The 22,857-nt window shown below is 46.2% G+C and overlaps 1 protein-coding gene across 1 annotated transcript in view, besides 3 other annotated features; it reads right to left on the bottom strand.

Annotated features, from left to right (window-relative positions):
• The window catches only part of PARP1 (poly(ADP-ribose) polymerase 1), a 47,403-nt gene that overhangs the window by 20,726 nt on the left and 3,820 nt on the right, over positions 1 to 22,857 (bottom strand). The window contains exons 2-8 of the mRNA NM_001618.4: positions 20,798 to 20,963; positions 10,783 to 10,898; positions 8,994 to 9,208; positions 7,240 to 7,339; positions 4,910 to 5,026; positions 4,088 to 4,264; positions 1,620 to 1,767 (exon numbers count right to left, since the gene is read on the bottom strand). Coding sequence (NP_001609.2) covers positions 1,620 to 1,767; positions 4,088 to 4,264; positions 4,910 to 5,026; positions 7,240 to 7,339; positions 8,994 to 9,208; positions 10,783 to 10,898; positions 20,798 to 20,963 — 1,039 coding nt within the window. The remainder of the gene's footprint in view (positions 1 to 1,619; positions 1,768 to 4,087; positions 4,265 to 4,909; positions 5,027 to 7,239; positions 7,340 to 8,993; positions 9,209 to 10,782; positions 10,899 to 20,797; positions 20,964 to 22,857) is intronic.
• Positions 21,512 to 22,413: an enhancer, noted in NCBI's record as "H3K27ac-H3K4me1 hESC enhancer chr1:226590629-226591530 (GRCh37/hg19 assembly coordinates)". NCBI's record gives its function as "activates a minimal SCP1, AML or CMV promoter by ChIP-STARR-seq in primed H9 embryonic stem cells {active_cell/tissue: H9 hESC(primed)}" and the evidence as "EXISTENCE:reporter gene assay evidence [ECO:0000049][PMID:30033119]".
• Positions 22,054 to 22,198: an enhancer, noted in NCBI's record as "145 bp 1:226591243 sequence used in MPRA reporter constructs". NCBI's record gives its function as "activates a minimal TATA-containing promoter with rs1417765 allelic activity by MPRAs in C283T melanocytes {active_cell/tissue: C283T}" and the evidence as "EXISTENCE:reporter gene assay evidence [ECO:0000049][PMID:36423637]".
• Position 22,126: a transcriptional cis regulatory region, noted in NCBI's record as "rs1417765 or 1:226591243 MPRA-significant variant associated with a GWAS melanoma risk locus at 1q42.12". NCBI's record gives its function as "allelic transcriptional activity by MPRAs in C283T melanocytes {active_cell/tissue: C283T}" and the evidence as "EXISTENCE:reporter gene assay evidence [ECO:0000049][PMID:36423637]".

A 22,857-nucleotide genomic window follows, 5' to 3' on the forward strand; every position in this document is an offset into this window, starting at 1 on the left:
CCACAAAATGCCACTCCATGGCCAGGCCAGCCTCGCGGCGTGAGCCAGGCAGCTGCGGGTTACCCCAGGTCCGCGCCAAGGTCAGGCTAGGAAGGCTGCATCTGCGGACGAGGGACCAGGAGGCTGGAGTCGGATGGGAAGAGGGGTAAGGTCACATGAACCCCCAATTCCTTCTGTTATTCTCCCAAACAAACTGCAATTCTTATGAATTAACCCCATTTTAAAATGAGACATGTCCATGATAGTCCCTCAAAGCAGTGGCCAGCACAATCACACGGAGCTGAGCTAACTGATTCTAGGAGAAAAGCAGCAGCCTGGTGTGCACTGACCCAGGCCAGAAAGGCCTGGACAGGGGTGTGCCTTCTGTTCACAGCAAACAACACAGTGCAGGTGACACCCGTCCAGAACTGGAGTAGCTGCAAGGAAAAGTCCTTCCTGCCTTCCCTGTGAGGGCAAACAACTAGGAAACACTGACAGTTTAACTGAAACTGCTGAGGTCTCCAGAGAACAAAATTATTGACTCATGCTGAACTGCAAGTCAGGGGAAAGCAGAGGAGGGAACCCTCCATGGAGGGGTCAGAATGCCAGCCCCCAACTGGCCCTTCATGTGGGCACCTGGACCCAGGCTGCCAGCAGCACAGTGGACTCGGGATGACCACCAGCACACACTGCAGTGACCACTGGTCCCCTCTCAGGATATGAAAAGGAAGTCAATAACAGGTTTATGTTCAAGGAAGGAACCCTCATCCTCCACCCACCAAACTGTGACCTTCACCAATAGACTATGCCACATGTCTCTGAGTAAACAAGCAGCGGGTCACTTCTCCTGCCAAAAAAATACGTTGCTCTCACTGTCTTGGTTGGCTTGGGGCATTTCTCACTAGTGCTGATTAGTAACTCCCTCTGCATACAACAGAGACTTGAGCATCACACCAGGGCCCGGATGACTGGTGGGCGCAGGGCAGCCTGGAGAGTGAGGCCTGGGATGCTCCTCTGCAGTGCAGTCAGGCAGGAGACCCTGCGCCCAACTCCAGGTAAGGCTGTCGACCTAGCCTTTCTTAGGAGCCCCTCTCCTAGCCTCCCAGAGTAAGAGCTGCTTGTTCTTCTACAATGTTTATTTTATTTTTAGAGATAGGGTATCACTCCATCGCCCAAGCTGGTGTGCATTAGCGTGATCATAGCTCAGTGCAGCCTTGACCTCCCAGGCTCAAGGGATCCTCCGCCTCAGCCTCCTGAGTATCTAGGGCTAAAGGCACATACTCGGATTAATTTTAAACATTTTTGTAGAGATGGGGTCTCACTACATTGCCCAGGTTGGTCTCAAACTCCTGGCCTCAGCAATTCTTTTGCCTCAGCTTCCTAAAGTGCTGGGATTACAGGTGTGAGTCACTGCTCCCAGCCGATGCTATGTTCTTAACACTCTCCCACCTTGCTGTGGTCAGGGGTGTAACAAGCCAAGAGAAGAGGCCTATCCCCTGCAGGGCAAGGCTTCCCCATGGTGGGGTCAGCAAAGAGAGACCCTTGACGGATACTTTCTTCACCAGCTCCACACCACCAGCAAGTAGTGGGCAAACAATTCCTGCAAAGCAGCTCTAAGACCGGGGTCCCAAATGCTGTACCTGCTGAAGCAGAGGAGTTCACAGCAGCAGGAGCCGAGGCTGTGGAGGGCGGAGGCGTGGCCGCCACGGAGGCGCTGGTTTCTGGGGGGAATATACGGTCCTGTTTTTTAACCTTCAATTTCTTGAGGTAAGAGATTTCTCGGAATTCCTAAAAAATATTAAGTTTTAGTTAAGAAGCCAGCTCTCCCTTGAGGTAACCACCCCATAGACCAAAGAGGATTTGGCTTGTCCAAATCAAATAATCTCTTTTTTTCTTCTTACAATAAAGAGTAACAAAAAATAGAAAAATGTGAGGCTTTAAGGATGAAAGACAGTATTATTGCTGCTACAGTACTTATTTCCGGTACTTTTACATTTATAATAGGGCTAATATTGTGGCTGCTTTAAGAGAAAAATCTTTCCCTAAAAAAAACAAAAACAGAAACCAGTGGCCAATTCGGTCAGGGAACCACCACTGGAACTGCTGTATGACTACAACCTCCCTGGCCTCATTCCTGAGTTGCTCCCTTCGAGAGTTAATAGGCCTCTGTGGGATCACATGCCTACTCCAGAACTCCAAGACCCCGAATACTATATACACACTGGGAGATTATTACCCAAAAGGAAATCACAGTATTTGCTTTCCTTTTTAGAAGAAGGAAAAATGAATGCAGGGAGCCCTATGGTATTCACTATAAATTCTTCCATCAGCACAATTCACTCTTCACTCTGACTGATTTACAAGGGGCCTTGCTCTAAATGGTCACTCAATAAGTATCAAATACATGAAGCTCAGGGAAAGATACTGTGCTCCCAGGTCTTCATCCAATCAAGAAACTGCCCTTTCCAGCTATGCCTGTGTTCAGGATGTCAGTTAGATACAAGAGGTCACAGATTGCTTCCGACACACACAGACCACCTAATATGTGCTACCAACCATAGTCTGGTTAAAAAGACAGTTTCTGCTCTTCAGAAAGTATCTCATTCGTGACTGAGCATCAGCTATAGGAAGGTGAACTTTAACAAAGGAGCTAAGCTATGCCAGAGGTGTGCCAAGGTGATGTGAGACAGGGAATGCTAGCATGCACTTGGAGGCAGTGATCTGCTAAGCCCACTGGGAGCTGAAAACACAGGGGACTGCCTAAGCACAGCCATCTGAGTAGCACACGGTGGCATGTGGGGTGCCCTGGCTAGGCGCCCTATTGCTAGGTACTCCTAAAAAGAATGAGCAAGACTGGCGGTGGGGTGGGGAGAGGGGTATGTGAGAAGGAAGAAAAGGGTGGCAGAAAAAGGCTGCAGAAGGCCAGCAAAGCCGCATCACAGAGGGCTCTGAGGACAAGCTACAGAGCTGGCCTTGATTCTGTGGGACAAGTGCCTGGGGGCAACAGTGTCACTGCCTGGGCAGCAAGCACTGCCAGACCAAAAACTTGTCTCGCACATGCACATAACCTTTAAAAATGTATATAGATGCTCTACAATTGATATATAAAATACAAGGAATGGCACATTGCTTATTGCCATCTTACTATTTCCCCATCAAAGATAGTAAAAGAAATACAAATACCACGTAAGGGTCTGTAAGATTTGCATACCCAGAAAAATCGGGGAATCAGTCTAAGATTTTAAGGGTGGGGGAAGTGACAAGGTCAGATTTATTTTAGAGGAACCACTCAAACGCACAGAGAGAAAATTAGGAGGGATCATGCAATCATGGCAGTGAACAAGTGAGCCAGGGGCCAGTGGAAATGGAGTTCAGTTGTAGGTGTAGAGCGAGTAATGTCGATAGTTACTCAGGTAACGATTCCTGAGTGTGTACTGTGTGCCGCTGTTCCAAGTGCAACAGCGAGGGAAGCAGCTTGGTGAGTGGCAGAGCTCTGCACCTACCCAGGCTGCTGGGCCTGGGTCCTGCTGAGTCTGAGGGAGCACAGGCAAAGGCCTCGGAGCAGCCAGCCCCACAAAGATACTGCTAGAACCCCACCAGCCGGCTCCAAAGGAGGCTCCCCATGGAGGTATTTTGCGTTGAGAATTCCATAAGCAGTTCCATTAAAAAAAGAGAGAACGTGCGATACTAGGAGATACGTGAACCCTGGATCCAATTCTCCTGCTAGCACTAAGGCAAGGAAATGTCCTTGAAAAAACCTTGTATCAGAAAGCAGGAATTACTATCCATTTCTTCACCATATGTCCCTCAAGCCTAGAACTGTGCCTGGCACATAGGAGGCATTCAATAGATAAAAACTATTCATGGTCTTTGCAAGCAACATTTTACACCAAATGGACCTCTACTCCATACTTAGAGGAGCTTCGGTTCTACATTTGCGTAGTTTGCAAACATGTAATTTTATATTCTGGTAAACAGGATGACGCAGCTGTAAAGAAGTCTGAGGAACATGGCCCTGCAATCTCAGGGACCTGAAGTATAAACAAGCGCAGAAAGTGGGGCCAGGTTTTTCTCCCAACAGATCCCAGGATCTTCCCCTACCCCTTACCTTTGGGGTTACCCACTCCTTCCGGTTGGGTGTCTGTGTCTTGACCATACACTTGGTCCAGGCAGTGACGTCCCCAGTGCAGTAATAGGCATCGCTCTTGAAGACCAGCTGACCCGAGCATTCCTCGCAGGGAAGGAGGGCACCGAACACCATGCCATCAGCTACTCGGTCCAAGATCTGCAGCCAGTGGAGAAACATGTCAGAGGGCAAATGCGGGACTACAAAAAAGGACACTTACTAATGTGGGATGGAGGAACTTGCACAGATTCCACTCACTACAAAGAAGAGAGGCTTCTTGCTGTGGGCTTGCTATGGGGCTCTTAACACCCCACCCACCCTTGGTTTACAATGGAGCTTGGATTCTTGTAGGAGACCTTATTTCCAAGTGTTCCTGCAGCGCCCCCAACCCTCAGTGATTTAGAAATGAAGGGAAAGCAACCACTGGCATTGCAGAAAGTACAGTGCCAAGCCAACTCCCAAGAATGACAGCAGAGAAGGGCCAGCTGGGGACACTGATGGGAAACCATCATGCCACCCCTCAGGAGGGGGCTCTCCTCTCTTCACAGGCCTGGCACTCTAGAGCAAGCACTAACATGTGGAAGATGTCTGGTGGGGCGTGTGAATGCCGGCCCCATCCACCCCGGAAAAATGGTGACCACGATGGTGGTGATGACCGTGCAACACAACCACGATTTATACTCCTTGCAATTAATACCAGCAGGTGTTCACACGGAGGGCCTCCCACACTCCATTGGGACAGTCACTCCACAACGACGGGGTCGGCCTCACATGCGTGTCCCACTTAACACAAAGGCAGCTCACCGCCGACTCCCCAGAAGGCACTTGCTGCTTGTTGAAGATGAGTAGCTCCTTCAGGTCATTAGTTGAACACACTTTCTTTAGCTCGTCCTTGATGTTCCAGATCAGGTCGTTCTGAGCCTATGGACAAGACCCAGTGGCTGAGAGGCTAGCTCTTTTCAAAGGAAGAATCCAACTGGAGGAGGAGCCCTGGTCATGCTGAGCCTCCAGTTATACCCTTGTGCACCAGCGAGCTGCCCCTGCAAATCTGGGTGATTAGCACAGGATTTGACTCCCAGTCATGCTCCTGTGGACACCAAATTAAACCTGCTGTGTGGTCTCTCAGAGAATACTGTGGAAGGTGATGAGGAAGCCCTAAGGGTGTGGGGGAGACTGCACCAAGGCTCCTGGAACCAACCCTCAGAAATCAATCCCCAGAAACACCAGGTAAGAGCCTGGAGGTGCTAGGCTGAGCCCACGGCCCACGTTTATCAGCAACTAGAGGAGGCAGGGTATGGCCATTCTCCACCAATCTTAGAGTAGGAATGATTCGCAAACACCAATTTCCTTGATGGTATATTATATTCAGTATCATGCAGGAATGTATTTAAGCTCTTCTGAAAATGGAAGTTTTAATCTTTATTAAGTGCCTACTCTTGGTTGGATGCTTTTACGTGTCTTCTAACTTATTTTTTCTTTGAGATGGAGTCTCACTCTGTTGCCCAGACTGGAGTGCAATGATGCGGTCTCAGCTCACTGCAACCTCCACCTTCTGGGTTCAAGCAATTCTCCTGCCTCAGTCTCCTGAGTAGCTGGGATTACAGGTGTGCACCACCACGCCCAGCTAATTTTTGTATTTTTAATAGAAACGGTGTTTCACCATGTTGGCCAGGCTAGTCTCAAACTCCTGGCCTCAAGTGATCCGCCTGCCTCGGCCTTCCAAAGTGCTGGGATTACAGGTGCTCAAGCCACTGCACCCGGCCTCATCTCATTTATTCTCATAACAATCAAGCTTGCTGAGGAAGCTATCAGCCTCTCCATTTTAAAGGCTGAGGTAAGTCTCCTCCTTCCCCAGGAAAATGGGCAAGTTATTCGCCATCTCTGCTCAGATTCCACCTCTGCAAAATGGAGACAAAAATGCCAGCCCTATCATATCCTATAGGGTTGCTATTAGTATCAAAAGAGGATTTTAACTCCACTGGCAAAGGTACAGGCACACACGTCTGCACCTGTTTCCCAGCTTCATTTTTAAGGGGTCTCTCGACATCTCCTCTCCATCACACACAGCATACACTGGGACACCAGGAATGGAGACATGAGAGGATGAGGAAAAGGTCTAGTGATACAGGGTTAAATGGAAGAAGTACAACAATGTCACCTGGGTGACCAAGGGGGGAGAGCCAACAGACACAGATGTGCCACAGTGGGAACGCTGAGGGGCATTTTAATTTTCTGACTCTCTATACATCTCTGATACCACTAGGGAAGAGAGAAGGACACTAATCTCACCAAATGGCCAATGTGAAGTGGCACCACAGTTCTCCTGCAGCCAGTTTTGGTGCATGACAGACACTTTTTTACCATAAGACAATTGAACAAAATGTGTGATTCTTATTTAGCAACTAGAACCATATCAGAAACTGCTTTTAATTTTAGTACCACTAGTAAAAACTGAATACTCATAGAAGAGACACAAGCAGATGGTTCATAGAAATCATGTTCTCAAGAGAGACCAACTGTTCTCCCTCAATTTCCCAGACATCCAGCATTTTCTGATTAATAATTTTTGCTTTGCTTCAACATGTACATAATCAACACAGGGATGAATCTTTCTGGTCAAGGACCACTGATTTAATGGATAGTTTTCTTCTGTCATTATCAGTCTATTCCTTTTTTAAAAATGAAGATCTTCATTTAAAAAATGTGGAGACACTTGATCTCTTCAAGCCATTTGTCTATGCTAAGAATCTTTGGCATCCTCTAAGTATTCAGTTTCCAAAGTTTGCAAGTGACCACAAAGGTGCAGGGTGTACAGTTGTGCATAATTTGGCCAAAGCATGAATCTCTGTCATCCCAGTATGAGGCTGGTGAGCGGAAACAGAGCACTCAGCCCTTGCTCAAGCCTGGCTGCAGGTCAGACACCTACAGCCTAATGTGGATTCTCTTCCAAATAAAAATGGTTTCTTTTGGAGGAGGAAAAAGAATCTGGGGAAAAGCCATGCTATTTAATAACTGCCATCAATTTGCTAAAGGTCTTAATAAGTGGGACACAACTCCTTGAATTGTCTTCCCAGAATGAGAAAGAGAATCCAGACAGCAGAATGTCGAAAGGAGACACAGAGCTGAGAACTCACCTTTAGGGCTTTTTCAAGCTTACTATCCTTGTCTTTTTCTTTTTTAGATTTCTTCTTCGCCACTTCATCCACTCCATCCACCTCATCGCCTTTTCTCTTTCTGAAGGAGACACAGGATATGAGAGACAGCCAGAGCCATTAAAAGTCTGACACCCAATGACTTGCGGTGATGCAGTATCTTAATGTCATTCTATCAACTCCCTGTAGGGCCTACTCACACTTGTCACTCCCTAACCCCTGCCCCACTCAGTGCCCTTAGGCGATCACTGTCTACTCAGGGAGTACTTGCAGCCAAGATGGCAGAAGACACCATCCAATTCAGAACATACTCTCCCAGCCAGGGAGAGGGGCTAGGGTTGTTCCAGGGACTCAGAACAACCCATTACAAGAATCCAGGGCTCAGACCCCGTCTGAGGTTAAAAAAAAAAAAGAAACCCATGTATCTCCTGGCCTGGAAGGTTCTAGCCGGGACTAGGCTAGAGGTAAGCCCATGGCTAGGGGGTAGGGATTGCAGAAAGACAAAGCACAAGTCCAGGGAGCTAGGCCTTTTGAGCTAAAACACAGAGCAAGGGAAAGAGGCTGCTCACAGAGGTGGGGCTGTACTGCCATATAAAGCCCTGACAAGAAGTGACAGTCAAAGCAGTGCTAACCAGCCTGCCCCAGCTGGCTCAGCAAACACAGCTCTGAGGCTATCACCTGCCCCCAAAATACAGGCGCAGGACAGCCGCAGTGGTCTGTCAGTCTCAGCTATCACATAGACCTGAGCACAAACCCTTGCACTTTCCTCATCCATAAAATAGGGAAAAGAATACCATCTGCCTCACAGAACTCTGGTGATGGGCAAATGAAACAGTCCAAATACAGGGCTTCATATAGTGTCTGGCATACGAAATGTGCTCAACACATTCTGGCAGTTATCATGGCATAAGTGGGAGCTGATGAACTCCAACACCTATATCACATGCTGCAATGCCCTGTGGCCTTTTTGACCCATGGCCTGATTTTTCAGTTTTCTTCCACATTCTAGAGCCCCATGTGCTGCTGCAATGAACAGGCGTTATGAACTGAGATAATGTGTGATGGCTGCTTGATGGTTGCCCAGTCACCGTTCAAGGAGCAGGGTGCATACCAGGCTCTGCCACACCACCCCTGGTGTGCTTGTTAACAAGCAGTTCTCCAGACTGAGGCTGAGGGACCAGCAGAGGGTAAACTGGAGAGACCAAGAGGTGTCCATGGATTCAAGACAGTCACTGATGGTCCTTCCCATTCTAAATTTTAACACCATGCAAAACCCTTATCATTCTCAACTCTAAGCCAGGAAAATTATCCACTGCCCATCCCCTAACTAAAAATGGTCACCATTCTCCCAGCATTGTTCCGAATAGTGATCAACCCAGGCACAACAAATACCCAGGGAAGGAAGGTGGTCTTTTAAGTATCTAAAGGGTTGTGGTGGGAAAGTGTAGTTAGCCTGTCCATGGAGCTCAGATGTTGGAAGGGGAATAGACCACCAGGAAGCAGGTCTCACAGGGGAGAGGGCTCTCAGCAGAGGCCATGGGAACCCCTGGCTGTCTTTCCCTACCCTGTCCTTTGCCCCCACATCTCTGCTGTCACCATTCCTCAGTTTGCATCTCCCTGGCTTACTGACAGTCAGCGAAGGGAAACAGAGGAGTGGTATGGAACCTGTAGGGCCTTTGGGCCTCCCTTGAACCCCTCACTGAACCCCCAGGGCAACCCCGCAGTGCTCCACCCACCCTTCACTCTTGACTCCTGGGAGCTGCTTCTTCAGGGCTTCTTTATCCTCTGTAGCAAGGAGGCTGAAGCCCTTGAGCTGACTCGCACTGTACTCGGGCCGGAAACCCAGCTCCTCCCTGTTCTTGACAAAGCAGCCTGGATGGTACCAGCGGTCAATCATGCCTAGCTGTGGCTTCTCCGGGTCCACCATCTTCTTGGACAGGCGCACCTGGCCCTGCAGGAAAAACCATATGTGGTACCAAGGGAGCGACAAGCAAGGATAGTGAACATGATACGGGCAGCCTGTGCTCCAGCCAGTGAGGAGCTGAGGGTCCAAGCCAAGGCCTGCCCGCCAACTTGAAGACTCATGAGCTTTTGAGAGGTTTAGCTCTCTCAGGTCATCAAGGATTGTGTGTTACCCACCCTCAAGACTCAGGGTTCCTTAAATTCCAAATGGCTGGCAACCTACCTACCTGCCTGGACATGTGAAGAATTGCTAACATTCCCCTTAAGATGTTTCTGCTGACCTGGGGCAGGCATAAAAACACATGGTATGGTGTGCTGGGCAGAGCTAGAGCCTTGCACACCTGCGTGGGCTTCCAATGCAGCACTTTTTTTTTTTTTTTTTTTGAGACAGGGTCTTGCTTTGTTGCCTAGGCTGGAGTGCAGTGACTTGATCTGAGCTCACTGCAACTTCTGCCTCCCAGGCTTAAGTGACCCTCCTACCTCGGCCTTGCCTGGCTAATTTTTTTGCAGAGATGAGGTCTCACTATGTTGCCCGGGCTGGTCCAGAACTCCTGGACTCAAGCAATACTCCTGCCTCAGCCTACCACCCCACCGTGCCCAGCCCCCAATGCAGCACTTTTGTACTAGCAGGGACTTTCTGTCCACTCCCACCCTCCTATGGCCTCCTTAGTCTCTTTACAGATGACACCCCCTAAGGAGTAATAAACCCACAGGCAAGAATCCAGTCCTGCCAGCCTGCCCAGGTCCCCAGTCCCCAGGCCTGATATTCCCAGGAGAGTTCCAGGCCTGGGAGGCTCAATCCAGAGAATGCAGCAGGAGGGGTTCCTGGCATTACATAAAACCAGTAACCCAGCAGCACATACCATCCGGCATTCCCCTTGAGGTAAAGAGGATCTTAATGTTTGCCTTAAATTTTTGGTGGTTGAAGGTAGCTGGAGAAGATACAGCAATTCCATGTTTTTCTTTTCTAAATACCCATTGGCTCACCTCAGTTTTCTGTACAATACCTCCGGGAGGCAGAGACTTTCAATTAATGCCTTAAATGAATCAATTAATATGTGCATGTCACATTAGAGAAGGGTGAGAAGGCTGCGGGGCACAAGCCTTCCCTTCTACCTGTGTGTCCATCCATTTTCTCTGACTGGCTGTCAGCCTTCAAGGGCTAGAACTGGTGGGAAAGCCTGGTTAATGAAGTTCCTTTGATTAAACAGAAGGCTGGAGGCTCATAACAGGGTAAACACACTCCTTATACCTAATTCTACCATAAAACACAGACAAACAGTCTCTCCCCAGCCACTGCTGGGTCCAAAAGAGACTCCTTTTGTTAACATTTTCCAAGAGCAGATGCATACATACATGAGAACTGGACCGTGATAAGGAGGACCAGACCTGTCTGGAAGTCACTGACGTATCTGGTCAATACTAATGTCTTCACTTTATTTTTAATCACTTACGTTGAGCTAGCACCCTAAAGCCCCCATTTCTTCTTTTCTCTTGAGATAGCCAATAACATCATTGCAAGCAATCCATAAAGTTCAGGGATCTGGGCCCCCAAGATCTTACCTTTTCTATCTTCTCCATACACCCCTTGCACGTACTTCTGTTGGACTTGGCATACTCTGCTGCAAAGTCACCCAGAGTCTTCTCTGCCTTGCTACCAATTCCATCCTGGCCTTTGCCTGGAGAATCAAACAGACAGCAATGCTCATCTCAACAGCCCCAAAATGCAGCTCAGAGGAGCCCCGTCCTCTTCTACCTCCCCAGGATCCTTCCACTAGGACACCTTATGCCTTGGGAGACTACGATTGGTCCATCTCATCTGTCTGTTTGTAACAACCGTGGTCAGCTAATAGAGCTTCTTTTCTGGAGATAAATGACCCTTCTCAGACTGAGCTCCTTGAAAGAGCAGCATATCAGGGGGTGGTCAGCTGTCTGACATTCCATCTCCTCCCCTTTCTCTGGAGGCCCCTCCCACACTTTAGAAAGCACTTATTAGGTGCTTACCTTAAAAGCCTGGAAGCATACTGACGTCTCACTAAGGCTTCTAATTTCCATTATACTTCTATTTACCAAAGTGTTGAATTAAAGGAAATATTTTGATATAAGTCAGACACAAGTATATGTAAGAATTAAATATGTACTAAAGGTATCATTTCAAATTAGTGGGAAAAGGTTGAATTATTCAATAAAGAGTTCTGGGGATCACTGGCTAGCCATTTGGGACAAAAACTGGATTCTTCTCTTATTATAAAAATAAATTCCCAGGTTGAATGTTTCTTGCCTAAGATTAGGAATAAGACGAAGCTATCTTCCCATCACTTCTATTCCACATGGTATTGGAGGTTCTAGTAAGTGCATTAAGGAAAGAAAAAGAAACACAAGGTGTAAGTTTGGAAAATAGTAAGTAAAGCCATCTCTACTTGTAGATGATTCTATTTGATATTCCTAAGAGATATCTTAAGAAATCTATTTTAAAACCTACTAAATTAAGTGAATTTAGCAAATACGCAGGGCACACTGTCAATATACAAACATACAAAAATGTCTAATACTAGCAATAAACATACTGGAAAAGGCAAGGACACTGGTATTTAAACAGCGTTAAGATACATAAAACACTTAGATAAATTTAACAAAAGATGTGCAAGATCTCTACACTAAAAGCTGTAAGACTTTGCTGAAATCAAAGAAGACCTAAATAAATGAAGAGATGCATCATGTTCATGGACTGTTAAGATGTCAATTATCTGCAATTTGATCCATGGATCCAGTGAGATGCCAATCAAATTCCTAGCAGCTGTATTTGTAATAGCCCCAAACTGGCAACAACCCCAAAGTCACCTACAGAAAAATGGATAAACAAATGGATATATCCAAACAAAGCACTACTCCCCAGAAATAAAAAGAACTAATGACACACAAGATGACCTGGATGAATCTCACAGGCATTGCTCTGAGTGAAGAAAGCGTGTAAGAGGGTATACAATTCCTTTTCTTCCTGAAATTCTAAATCAGGCAAAATTAATCTATGGGGATAGAAATCAGAACAGTGGTTACCTGAGTCAGGGAAAAAAGACTAGAAAAACTACAAGGGAACTTCACAGGGTGACAGAAATGTCTATAACTCAACGGGGTCTATGCTAGATATGTATAAGCATTTGTCAAAACTCACTGAACTGTATACGTAAGATCTGTGCATGTAACTATGTAAATCATTTTTAATATTCCAGATATAATACCAAAGACACACCACAAATGAGAAGACAGACATGACTACACAAACGTTAGTGAAAGATGAAACTTTAATGAGGCAAAAAAATACAATAGACAAAACTAAAAGAAAATGTCAAACTTGGAAAAATATTTGTAAAAACATGTTATGACAAAGAATCAGTATCTTTTACATTTCCTTAAGAAAAACACAAGGCCAGGCATGGTAATCCCACCTCACACCTGTAATCCCAGCACTCTGCGAGGATGAGGCAGGAGGATCACTTGAGCCCAGGAGTTCAAGACCAGCCTGGGCAACATAGAGACCTCCTCCATTTAAGGAAGAAACAAACAAAACAACCAAACCCCAGCATGGTGGCGCACGCCTGTACTCCTAGCTACTTAGGAAGCTAAGGTAAGAAGATTGCTTAAGTCTAGGAGTTCAAGGCTACAGTGAGCTAGGATCGTGCAACTCCACTCTAGCCTTGGGTGACAGAGTGAGACCCTGACTCCAAAAAAAGGAAACACTTAGGAATGGTATGTTAGTAGAGAAATGGGTATATTATATACTGCTGGTATAGTATGTGCAATTGAAGCAACCTTTTCTGGAAGGCAATTTGGCACATACATAGAAAGCCTTAAAATTGTTCATCTCTTTGAACAGTAACTGCACATCTTAGAATTAAAGAAATAACTGTACAGGTGCGTGGGATGTACAAGAAGTTTGCAGCAGCTCTACGTGTAATATAACTAAAAGGTTAAAATTCTAGTCTCAAAGAAAGACAGGGCTGGGTGCGGTAGCTCACGCTTGTAGTCCCAGCTGCTCAGCAGACTGGAGGATTGCTTAAGCCCAGGAGGCCAAGGCTGGAGTGTAGGCTGTGATCGTTCCACTGCACTCCAGCCTGGGTGACAGAGCAAGATGTTGTCTTGAAAAAAAAGAAAAAAAGACAGACTGGATTTGAATCCTGGCTCAGGAATTTACTACCAGTATAACCTTGGGTCAGTTACCTAACTTCTCTGTGCCTGAACTTCCTCACCTGTAAAAACTGACAAATGACACGATTAAATTAATATGTCAAGTACTTGGAATACTGGATGAAATTTAGCAAAACCTCACTAAATGACTACTGTGCACTTGAATCTGTAACTTTTAACATGAGAAGAGTAAATATCAAGTTGTAAAAGTACTAACAGGTCAACATCACTAGTCGTTAGGGAAATGAAAATCAAAAACCACAGTGAGATACTACTTCACACACATTAGGATGGCTATTATTTAAAAAAAAAAAAAGTGTTCATACGAATGAGGACAAATTGGAACCCCCTTGTCTTGCTGGTGGAAATGGAAGAGCTGTTATAGAAAACAGGATGGAGGCTACTCAAAAAATTAAGCATGGAATTACCATGATTCAGTGATTTCACTTCTGGGTATACACAGCAGACAAGTGAAAGCAAGGTCTGTAACATATATCTGTATACCGATGTTCATTATAGCATTATTAATAATATTCATTATCATTATTATGAATATTATGAATACCATTCATAATAGCCAAAATGCAGAAACCTGGCCGTGTGCAGTGGCTCACGCCTGTAATCCCAGCCTGGCCCATGTGGTGAAACCTTGTCTCCACTAAAAATACAAAAAATTTAGGTGGATGTGGTGGTGCATGCCTATAATCCCAGCTACTCGGGAGGCTGAGGCAGGAGAATTACCTGAACCCAGGAGGTGGAGGTTGCAGTGAGCTGAGATTGCACCACTGCACTCCAGCCTGGGCAAGAGTGAGACTCTGTCTCAAAAAAAACAAAAAACAAAGTGCAGAAACCACCTAAATTTCCACAGACATACAAATGGGCAAATGAAATATGGCATATTCGTGCAATTAATGTTTATTATGTCTTTAAAAAGAAGGAAATTCAGACACATGCTGCAACACGGACGAACCCAGAAGAACTATGCTGAGTGAAGTAAGCCAGACACAAAAGGACAAATACTGTCTAACTCCACTTACATGAGGTGCTAGAGTTGTCAACTTCACAGAGACAGAAGCAACAGCGGTCATGAGGGGCAGGGAGAACAGGCAGTTATTGCTTAATGGATTGGGAGTTTCAGTTTGGGAAGATGAAAAAGTTCTGGAGCTGGATGATGGTAATGTTTGCCTAACAATGTGAATCTACTTCATGCCACTGAACTCTACACTTAAAAATGGTTAAGACAGGCCAGGCGCAGTGGCTCACGCCTATAATCCCAGCACTTTGGGAGGCCGAGGCAGGTAGATCACCTGAGGTCAGGAGTTCAAGACCAGCCTGGCCAACACAGTGAAACCCCATCTCTACTAAAAATACAAAAATTAGCCAGACGTGGTGGCGCACACCTGTAATCCCAGCTACTTGGGAGGCTGAGGCAGAAGAATCGCCTGAACCCGGGAGACAGAGGATGCAGTGAGCCATGATTGCGCCACTGTACTCCAACCTGGGCGACAGAGCAAGACCCTGTCTCAAAAAAATTTTTTTTTAAAAAAAGAAAAGGGTTAAGGTAAATTTTATGTTATGCCTATTTTGCCACCAAAAAAAAAAAAAAATCAAGTAAGAAAAGTGATACTTAGAGTAGGATCTCAATTCTGCAGGAAAGAAAGAAAATCAAGCACACTCACAAGCAAATTAGTATTTTCTATGGAGATATCCCACATGTTAATAAGTCATTTCTGAATTAGAGGATTTGGGATGAATTAAACTTTTCATATATCTAAAAATAGTAAGTTAGGCTCTCTGGATGAAAAATCCCTGGACAATTAGTAGGTAGTATCCTAACTGTATGGTTATGATGGTTTCACAAAAAGACACATTTTCAGTAAAATCATTATGCCTTTTCATATTATAAAATTACACTTAGGTCAGCCTGGCCAATATGGCAAAACTCTATCTCTACTAAAAATACCCAGCCAGGTGTGGTGGCACACACCTGTAATCCCAGCAACCCGGGAGGCAGAGGTTGCAGTGAGCTGAGATGGCACCACTGCACTCCAGCCTGGGTGACAGAGATTATCTATGTACTCAGGTATATTTAAATTATAACTAGATATAACATATCTATGCCCCTAAACCTACAACTTCCCCTATCCTGAATACAAAAGAGAAAACAGCCACAGAACAACAAAAATGTCAGCCAGGTGTATTTGCTCATGCCTATAAACCCTGTGCTTTGGGAGGCAGAGGTGAGATTGTTTGAAGCCAAGAGTTTGAGACCAGCCTGGGGTCTTGCCAAGCAAGATCCCTTGGGCAACACAGTGAGACTCTGTCTCTATCTTAAAAAAAAAAAAAAAAAAAAAGTTAAAAAATTAGTTGGGCAACTGTAGTCCTAGCTTCTCCAGAGGCTGACGTGGGAGGATTGCTTGAGCCCAGGAGTTAGAAACTGCAGTGAGCTAAGATCATGCCGGTACATTCCAGCCTAGGCAACAGAATGAGAGCTGTCCTCTGTTAAATCTGACATACTCACCCTCTGAACCCTTTCTTGGCAAATTTATTTACTTTTTAAAATTCCCAATTCTGAGCCGTTACTAACCTGTTTGCAGTAAGCAGCTAGTCAGACATACCAACAGCTGCAAGGACCAGCTGCTGCAAGGGCAGACAGTGATATGGTTTGGATCTGTGTCCCCACTAAATCTCCTATCAAATTATAATCCCGAATGTTGGAGGTGGGGCCTGGTGGGAGGTCACTGGATCACCGGGACAGATTTCTCCCTTGGTGCTGTGTCATGATACTTGTGAGTTCTCCTGAGATCTGGTTGTTGAAAAATGTGTAGCACCTCCCCTTTCACTCTCTTCCTCCTGCTCCGGCCATGTCAACTGCCGGCTTCTCCTCTGCCTTCTGCCATGACAGTAACAAGGTTGGAGGACTGACACTACCCAACCTAAAGACTTACTATGAAGCCACAGCAGTCAACACAGTGTGGTACTGGCAAAAGGATACGTAGATCAGTGGGACAGAACAGGGAGCCCAGAAACAGAGCCACACAAGCACAGTCCACTGATCTTTGACAAAAAAGTAAAGGCAAAAATGGAGAAAAGATAGTCTTTTCAACAAACGGAGCTGTAACAACTGGACATCCACATGCGAAAAAAAAAAAAGAAAAAAAATAAAGGAATCTAGACACAGACCTTACACCCTTCACAAAAAGTAACCAAAATGGATAACAGACCTAAATGTAAGACACAAAACTGTTAAACTTCTAGAAGAAAATCTATATGACCTTGGGTCTGGTGATGACTTTTTACAAACACCAAAAGCCCAATCCACTAAAGAAGTAACTGATTAACTAGACTTCACAAAATTAAGAACTTCTGCTCTGCGGAAGACCAGCCACACACTGAGAAAAAATATTTTCAAAAGACATATGACAAAGGGCTGTTATCCAAAATATACCAAGAACTCTTAGGACTCAACAGTAAGAAAACAAACAATGTGATTTTAAAAAGAGCAAAACCAGGAGTTTGAGACCAGTCTGGGCAACAAGGTGGGGCCCTGTCTCTACAAAAAATTTAAAAAAATTAGCCAGGCATGGTGGTGCGCACCTGTAGTCCCAGCTACTCAAGAGGCTGAGGTGGGAGACAGAGGTCAAGGCTGCAGCGAACTGTGATCACACCACTGCACTCTAGCCTGGGCGACGGAGCAAGACAGTCTTAAAAAAAAAAAAAAAAAGTGGGGGTAGGGGCAGGCAAAAGACATTTCACCAAAGATATACAGATGGTAAATAAACGTATGAGAAGATGTTCAAGATAATTACAGTATTAGGGAAATGCAAATTAAAACAATAATAAAATACTATATATCTATTGGAATGGCCAAAATCCAAAACAATGATAACACCAAATGCTGGCAAAGATGTATAATGATACGAACTCTCATCTATTGCTGGTGGGAATGGAAAATGATTCAGCTTTTTGAAAGACAGCTTGGCAGTTTCTTACAAAACTAAATATACTCTTACCACATGATCCAGCAATTGTACTCCTTGATTACCCAAAGGAGTTGAAAACTTATGTCCCCATAAAAACCTGCACATGGTGGGTGTTTCTAGCAGCTTTGTTCATAATCACCAAAACTTGGAAGCAATCAAGATGTCCTTCAGCAGGTCAATGAATAAACAAACTGTGGTAATCCAGACAATGGAATATTATTCAGTAATAAAAAGAAATGAGCTATCAATACGACAAGACATGGAGGAATCTTTTTTTTTTTTTTTTTTTGAGATGGAGTTTCGCTCTGTTGCCAGGCTGGAGTGCAGTGGCATGATCTCGGCTCACTGCAACCTCCGCCTCCCAGTACAACCAATTCTCCTGTCTCGGCCTCCCGAGTAGCTGGGACTACAGGTGCACACCACCACACCGGCTAATTTTTGTATTTTTAATAGAGACAGGGTTTCACCATATTGGCCAGGCTGGTCTCGAACTCCTGACCTCGTAATCTGCTGGGCTCGGCCTCCCAAAGTGCTGGGATTACAGATGTGAGCCACCGTGCCCGGCTCGACATGGAGGAATCTTAAGAGCACATTGCTAGTGAGAGAAGCCAATCTGAAAAGGCTACCTTCTGTATGATTCCAACTATATTATATTCTGGAAAAGGAAAAACTATGGAGAAAGCAAAAAGATCAGTGGTTACTGGAGGTTAGAGGGGAGGGAGGAATGACTAGGCAAAGCACAGAGATTTCCCAGGCAGTGAAAGGACTCTGGAGGCTACCATAAAGGTACATGCATGTCAATGTATGTTTGTTAAAACTGACAGAATGTACAATGCAAAGAGTGAGCCCTCATGTAAACTACAGACCTCGAGGGATAACGATGTGTCAATGTGGCTCATCAGTTATAACCATGGACCACTCCGATAACGATGTGTCAATGTAGCTCATCAGCTATAACCATGGACCACTCTGGTGGCGATGTTGATTGTGGACAAAAGTCTGTGTATGTGTGGGGTGGGTAGGGCTAGCGGGTATATGGAAACTCTGTACTTTACTCAATTTTGCTGTGAACCTAAAACTGCTATAAGAAAAAAAGTCTACATACAGAAGAATGTCATGAACCTGGGAGGCGGAGCTTACGGTGAGCCGAGATCACACCACTGCACCCCAGCTTGGGTGACAGAGCGAGAATCCGTCTCCAACAACAACGAAAAAAGTTTACATATAAAAAAAGGTTAAACAGACAATGGAACAGAAATTTTTAAAAGGACCCCAAAATACAGAGATTTTGTGCATGATACAAGACACCTCTCAATGGGGGAGATGAATAAGCCAATAAACAAAGTACAAAAAATTAGCTGGGCATGGTGGCAGGCACCACGCTACTCGGGAGGCTGAGGCAGGAGAATCGCCTGAACCCGGGAGGCGGAGGTGGCAGTGAGCCAAGACCATGCCACAGCACTCCAGCCTGGGCAACAGAGTGAGACTCCATCTCGAAAACAAAACAAAAACAAAAACAACAACAAAAAAACAAAGTAGGGAAACTAGATCATCATCTGGAAAAAAATAAAACTGGAGTCACGCCTCACACCACACATCAGCACACACCGGGATAACTCTCAAATAGAGTAAACATTTAGATGTTAAAAGAAATAAGGAACCATAAAATTACACGTACTGGATGTAGTTCATCTGTATCCCCAGGGTGGGCTACCTGACAGTGGCTGCTGGTGCCACAGCCTTGTTCCCTAGCACTGTCACTGCCTCAGGGTAAGGGCCACACCCTGGCATACCCACCCTGTAGTGACCACCACAGTAACAAACACAGCACTGTCACCAACAGGCCAACTCTTTCAAAACCAGGGACTGAGAGTCCTCCCGCCACTTCCAGATCTAGAGGCAGCTCTGGCTGCAGGGCGTGACTGTGCAGAGGCCAGGAACACAGTCTGGAAGTGCAGAGAACCACAGCACCTCCAGCGAGCTAAAACCAATGAGAAACAAGAGGCAGAAAGAACCAATGGATAATGCTGCTCCCTTCCTCCTGCTCCGAGGGGCTTTTCTGAAGCTTAGTGGCAAAGGACTTGCGTGAGGGCATCCTGCATGACCAAGCCATTGGCTGTTTCTCATGAAGCCATGGCCAGCTTGACAGCGTATGGCACTGTGCTTGCCCTCCTGCCTCCCCTTCCTCCCTCTCTCTTGCTGCCCTAGGATTACCTCTCCTAATAAAGCTTTTAATAGCTTTGCTTTCTGCTCTGCTATGTCACCTGACGTGACCTGTACTAAGACATGGGAGAAGACATAAAAGGAGAAAACTGTGGAGACAGTAAAAAGAGCAGTGGTTGTCAGGAATTAGGAGGGATAAACAGGGGATTTTTAGAGCAGTGAAACTGATGCAGGGCAGGCCAGCCCTAAATTGGGGATTGGCCTGGGCGGGTCCTTGGCTTCGCTCTGGAAAGCATTTAAGAGCGAGCTCGTGGTAGAAGAAAGCAGCTTTATTGAGGCAGCAGTGTTATGGCTCTGTGACTGCTCCTGCAGAGCAGGGCTACCCCACAGGCACTGTGCTGAGAGCAGCAGCTCAAAGGCAGTTCTGAAGTCATATTTACACCCACTTTTAATTATATGCAAATTAAGGGGCAGACTATGCAGACATGTTAAGAAACGGGGTGGTAACTTTTAGGTCATCAGATTGTTGTCACAGAAAGGGGTGGTAACTTCCGGGTATTGCCATGGCAATGGTAAACTGATATGGCACACTGGTGGGTGTTTTATGGAAAGCTGCTTCGTCCCTGTCCCTGCTTTAGTTAGTCCTCGGTTTGGTTTGGTGTCTGAGCCCCACCTCCTACCTCATTCCCCTCTCAGAGATGAGCTATTCTTCCTTAATCTTAAGGGGGCTGCAGAAGGGTGCAGGTCTGAAACTACTCTGTATGATACTATAATGGCAGATGCATGTCATCATACATTTGTCCAAACCCATAGAATGTAGAGCATCAGGAGTTTCTGGACTCTGGGCAATAATGATGTGTCAGTGTAGGTTCCTCAATTATAACAAATGTACTACTCTGGTGGGAGGTGTTGACAAGGAAGAGCCTGTGTGGTGGGAGGGGGAGGGGGTACTGGAAACTCTTTGTTCTTTGCTTACTTTTGCCATGAACAAAAATAAAGTATATTAAAAACAAAACAACTTTAAAGGCTACATTCCAAGCACCTGGAAAAACAAAATACCAAATATCATGCAACAGATGATGCTGAGTCCAGGAGGTGTTGCTGAAATAACATGGGCACCATACGCTTGATCTGCACATGTGGGAGAGGGCAAGCTGGGGGAGGTTTGCTTTGCTCTCTGAGACGAGGCCCTCCTGGGAGCTTCAGGGTGGGGGCTGAATGCCCATGCTGCCCCAGTATGTACACACCTGTCACTCCTCCAGCTTCCGCTGTCTTCTTGACTTTCTGCTGGTCATCCCACCGAAGCTCAGAGAACCCATCCACCTCAACGTCAGGGTGCCGGATGGAGTGGCCCACCTTCCAGAAGCAGGAGAAGTGGTACCAGTGTGGGACTTTTCCATCAAACATGGGCGACTAGAAGGAAGAGAAACAGAGGGAAGTAAGTAAGCAGTTAACTTTTGACTTAGACCCACTAGACCTTGACCTTGACCTCGACCCCAGTCCCAGCCCCAGCAGTGGGATAGCACATGAAACTTTTGTTCTCCTATCTGTGAAAGGAGGACAGCCTCCGCTCTCACATGAAGAGCTGCAGCATCCTTCTCACGATCTTCCCCAAGGGTCAGAAGACTGTAGCCCACTGTTCTTGAGCTCATTCTCTTAGGACACCAAACACAGCCACGAGAAAGGTGGCCTTTTACCACTGAGCTCTGCCCCACGTCCCTTTTGACCACACACTGCTACATTTAGTGGTGAGCTGCCTCATGGCCTAGTGAAATGCACAGAAGACACTTGTGCAGAGTCACAATCCTGCAGCATCTGCTGGGAATGGCCAGACAACTGCTCCAGGCTTGCCTGGACTCAAAGGGCCTGTGTGCCCCAGAAAAGGGCTCTTTAAGTGCCTCTGCAGTTAAGAATAACAAGGAACAAGTCCCAGATAATGAGCAAAGCAGAGAAAGTGTGTCAGAAAAAAGTGTCAAGCTTGCAGCAGCCACACAGATGGGAGTGGAATGAATGGAGGTCTTTGAGGCAACTGTGACAGCGGATGGTTCGGGGCAGCATGCCTAGAGCTGGAGTCAGCTGCTCACTGGCCTTCTGGGGCGCAGTTTCCCAGGCGTAGGACCTGAGAAGTCTGGCCACAGGGAACACAGTTCCCCTCTCCAGGTGGTTTGCTTCCCACTAGGCCTTTCATTGTGACAGGGTCAGGTTCTGCTCCCAGGCCTCGAGCACTGTCTGGCTTTGTTTTTGAGACCGAGTCTTGCACTGAGTGCAGTGGTGCGATCTCAGCTCACTGCAACCTCTGTCTCCTGGGTTCAAGCGATTCTCCTGCCTCGGCCTCCTGAGTAGCTGGGACTACAGGCACGTGCCACCCATGCCTGGCTAATTTTTGTATTGTTAGTAGCAATGGGGCTTCACCATGTTGGCCAGGCTGGTCTCGAACTTCTGACCTCGTGACCCGCCCGCCTCGGCTTCCCGAAGTGCTGGGATTACAGGCATGAACCACTGCACCCAGTCCTGGCTTTACAGAGTGGACGGTGACAGCGATTGGGAAGAAGGGGAAGACACAGTATGTAGTGTGTGTCCCTGCTCCTTTCATAAGCCATCCTGTGTAATCCCACAATCTGCCTCTGGGTGGGAACCAGCCCTTTCATTCACAGATGGAGACAGTGGGGCTGGAAATCCTTGCCTGGGGGGTTGGGAGTCACAGAGGCAGCAAATGAATGATTTGACACTATGATTCCTCCCACCACACTCCACTGCCCGGCAGGAAGAGCTACTTAAAAATACACCAACTGTGATCTGACTAAAGTAAGGGAAGTCCCAAACATCTGCTTTTATAGAACATAAAGCTAAATGTCACACAGATGCAATAAGACTATTAAAACAGCATTAAAAGTAAATGTGCTGAATTTTTAGGATGGAGTTGCGGGGACAGGGAAAATACTCTGGAAAAGCAATGATAAGGTACCCCACTATCTCTCTCCACTGTGAGTGGCCTCTTTCTGGATGTGATGTATTAAAATGCACAGCTAAGACTATGGCAGCACAAGGACTCCTCAACATCAGCTTTCCCCTGGGTCTGGAATGCTCTCCAGCCCTGTTCAGAGCACTCCCTCAGATCTCCCAATGCTCCTTCCACAGCTCCCCTCACTAAGAACTATGCATTTGGTGATTATTTCATAAGGGCCTATCTTGCTATTCTCTAGCAACATGTCACAGAGGGCACGCAGTGTTTGCTTAGGGCTCCAAGTCAGATGGAACAAAAAAGGAAGGATGGGGAAATTCCTGCTGTAGAAGAGACAACAAATGG

Source organism: Homo sapiens, chromosome 1, assembly GCF_000001405.40.
Source record: "Homo sapiens chromosome 1, GRCh38.p14 Primary Assembly".
NCBI classification, from domain to species: Eukaryota; Metazoa; Chordata; class Mammalia; order Primates; family Hominidae; genus Homo; species Homo sapiens.